Genomic DNA, 3,774 nt, shown 5'->3' with positions numbered 1-3,774 from the left:
TTTTTCTGATCATTTGTTTCTCAGCCCTTTCCCCGACTGGAACGTGGAGTCTGTTCAGGCAGGGATTCTGTCTGCCTTGCTTACCAGGTTGCTCCCAGGCCCAGAATAGCACCTGACAGGCCTAGGAGCCCAACAAATGCTTGTTGAATAAGTAAGCAAGTAAGGAGAAGAAGGAGCAGCTTCAGCAATCATATATGGCATGATCCTGTTAGTGTCGGTGTGCATCTGTGTAAAAGATGCAGAGGGGCATATTCTTGTGGCAGCTGGTGCAAAAAGCCTCTTAGGAAGAGGCCAATGCTCTTCTGCCTGAAGAGCATCGTTCTTCACAAGTCCACTCTGAGCAGGGTATCCCGTGGCCTATTGAGGTCAGCTCCCTGTTGGCCTTCTTAACGGGGCTGAAACTGCTCTGCAGGAGATAAAGATCAGAACCCTCTGCTGGTTCCCACCACACTCAGAATAAAAGCCAGTATGTGCGCAGTGGACTGTAGAGGCCCTATCAGAACTACACCACATGCTTCTCTGGCCTTCATCTCCTTTATTCTGCCCCCTTTAAATTCATTCTGACCAACTGGCCTCAGGGCCTTTGCACTTGCTGTTGTCTCTCGCTGGACACTTTTTTTTTTTTATTTTACTTTAAGTTCTGGGATGCATGTGCAGAACTTGCAGGTTTGTTACATAGGTATAAGTGTGCCATGGTGGTTTGCTGCACCTACCAACCCATCTTCTAGGTTTTAAGCCCAGCATGCATTAGGTATTTGTCCTAATGCTCTCTCTCCCCTTTGCCCCCCACCCCCCAACAGGCCCTGGTGTGTGATGTTCCCCTCCCTGTGTCCATGTGTTCTCATTGTTTAACTCCCACTATGAGTGAGAACGTGTGGTGTTTGGTTTTCTATTCCTGTGTTAGTTTGCTGAGAATGATGGTTTCCAGCTTCATCCGTGTCCCTGTAAAGGACATGAATTCATTCTTTTATATGGCTGCACAGTATTCCATGGTGTACATGTGCCACATTTTCTTTACCCAGTCTATCATTGGTGGGCATTTGGGTTGGTTCCAACTCTTTGCTTGGAACACTCTTTTTTTTTTTTTTTGAGACAGAGTTTCGCTCTTGTTGCCCAGGTCGGAGTGCAATGGTGCGATCTCGGCTCACCTCAACCTCCGCCTCCTGGGTTCAAGCAATTCTCCTGCCTCAGCCTCCCGAGTAGCTGGGATTATAGGCATGCACCACCATGCCCAGCTAATTTTTTTTGTATTTTTAGTAGAGACAGGGTTTCTTCTTGTTGGTCAGGCTGGTCTCGAACTCCCGACTTCAGATGATCTGCCCGCCTCAGCCTCCTGAAGTGCTGGGATTACAGGCGCGAGCTGCTGTGCCTGGCCAGAACACTTAATACCAGCTATTTTCATGGCTTCAACCCTCCCCATCTCCTCTAGGTGTCTGTTCAAAAGTCACCTCTTCAGGGAGGCCTTTCCTGACCACCCTGTTTATTTAGTGTTCAAGTATGGCTGTCTCCCCCATGATAATGGCAGCTCCTTGAGGGCAGGGGCTTTTGTTCTCTCGCTGTTCCTCCAGCACCTAGATAATTGTTTGGCACGTTCTTGGTTTGTGTGCATGGAGATGGCATGTGTGTGACTTATTTAACACAGTGATGCCAGGCCTAAAACCATGCCTGAAACATAATGGATGTTTTGAGTGGATTCCCCAACATCCACCCTGAAACAGAGTTGGGTGAAAGTGATTTAGTAGACAGCATTTTCAGAAACAACCCACAGGGGATGGCAGAGTGGAACAAGGAAGGGAAGAAGGCCAAGAGACAGTGCATATCATGCAAAGTCCTGTGGAAGATTCCTTGGGCTGGAGATGGCGTAGGTCACACATCAGAGCTGTCCCAGTCAGGGGCAGGAGAGGTGAAGTTTTTTGTTTGTTTGTTTGTTTTGCTTGTTTGTTTGTTTTCTTTTTTTTTTTTTTGAGATGGAGTCTCGCTGCATTGCCGAGGCTGGAGTGCAGTGGCGCAATCTCAGCTCACTGCAACCTCCACCTCCTGGGTGCAAGCGATTCTCCTGCATCAGCCTCCTGAGTACCTGGGACTACAGGCACCCGTCACCACACCCAGCTAATTTTTGTATTTTTGGTAGAGACAGGGTTTCACCATGTTGGTCATGTTGGTCTCAAACTCCCAACCTCAGGTGATCTGCCCGACTTGGCCTACCAAAGTGCTGGGATTACAGGCTTGAGCCACCGCACCCGGCCGGCAGGTGAAGTTTTCACACCCTATCCCCATCAGGCTGCTCTAGAAGGCTGTATGTGCTGCTCTCCGTGCATTCAGACAAAGCACCGCAACCCAAGGGCAGCACACCAATAAAAGGATGCAGGTGCCGGCTGCTGGGAGAGATAGTGCATCCAGAGCCAGGATGTGATGAGCCTCAAGATGGAAAAAGGATCTGGGGGTTTGTTCATGGAGCCCCGACAGTGTCTGCCGCAACATGTGGGCTCCATATTTGTTGAATGAATACTCTGGCTTTGCTCAATTGCAACTGGAACATTCTTGTAGCTAAAGAAGTGACCTCATTCCATGCTTCCACTATTCATACTTCTCACTGAAATGAGGACACCGGGACCCACTCCCAGGGTTTGGGCAGGGTTACATGGGTGGCCATATGCACTCACATCCCACTCCCTGAACTTCAGGCAGAGGTGCCCCAGCCCAAGGCTGAGTGTGTTCCCTGGTTCATGTGCTGTGGACCCTGAGGTTGAGCCCACAAAGACGCTGTCCCCAGAGCATTGTCCCTGGGGCAGGCCTCATGCTCATCGGCTTCCTCTGCTGCAACTCAAGTCAGTTTCTGACTTGCTCTCTAACATCTCCATGCCTTCACAGAGGCCATGCACTATGCCCGGCATGCCCTTCTTTCTCTTCTTTGTTTCGAAATCTGAGTTTTTCCTTCATGAGCAGTTCAAATGTCACTTCTCAAGTGAGTAAAACCTCCCCAACTGCATTTTCCCTAGGCTCTTCCAACAAACACCCAGGAGAGAACCCCTATTCCACCTCAACACCAGCGCCCCAGCCTGTGCACACAGTCCTGCTCTGGGTGGTTTCCCTGTTAGGCAGCAGCTGTAGCTCTGTCTCTCTGGTAGCCCAGTGCCTGCTGGGTGCCTGGCTTCCAGATGTGTGACATGTGTTTAATCAACGAACTGATCAACTGACCCACCAAAAAGGAAGAGGAAGGACAGAAGTTACTTAAACCTGAATCCTTCTTCGTGGCATCTTCCCCCACCCCACATGGACCTGGGACTGAGCATTCAGAGATGGTTCTGACTTTTGAGGTTACCAATGGGGACCTTCCTTCTGAGGTTTCCTTTCCTTGCAGTGGTCTGCCATGGCCTTGGGGACTTCTCTCCACATCATTTCCTGCCCCAGAAACTTCTGGAGCCTGGTCAGACTCTGGAGCCCCAAGAGTTAACCGCCTCAACCTCAGCTCAAACTGCTTATTGTCAAATGGATTTCTTGAGCCAGCCAGAATGCTGGGGAGCCCGGGCTGAGCTGGGTCGAGCGGAGGTTTATTTTTCTGCTGACTACCATCTCCCAGTTGAGTATCTTTCCCAGGACAGATCTCCAGCCCCGTTTTCCCTGGCTCTCTCTCCCCATATAAAAACAACTTTATCTCTAAAGAGCAAATAACACCCAGGGCTCATAACAGATGCCAAGAACTGTTTCTATTTTGATTTTTGAAAATAAAAATTCAACTGTGTTCAATAAAATTCAGAAGCCGCTTCCCTCTGT

At 49.5% G+C, this 3,774-nt stretch overlaps 1 annotated feature.

Moving 5' to 3' along the window:
• Positions 3,361 to 3,538: a silencer, noted in NCBI's record as "fragment chr16:55116696-55116873 (GRCh37/hg19 assembly coordinates)". NCBI's record gives its function as "represses an EF-1alpha promoter that drives an FKBP-Casp9 reporter gene in an ReSE screen in K562 erythroleukemia cells {active_cell/tissue: K562}" and the evidence as "EXISTENCE:reporter gene assay evidence [ECO:0000049][PMID:32094911]".

The sequence above is a fragment of the Homo sapiens genome, chromosome 16 (genome assembly GCF_000001405.40).
Source record: "Homo sapiens chromosome 16, GRCh38.p14 Primary Assembly".
NCBI classification, from domain to species: Eukaryota; Metazoa; Chordata; class Mammalia; order Primates; family Hominidae; genus Homo; species Homo sapiens.
Note: the sequence above shows the minus strand (reverse complement) of the source record. Positions and strands in the feature narration are given on the sequence as shown.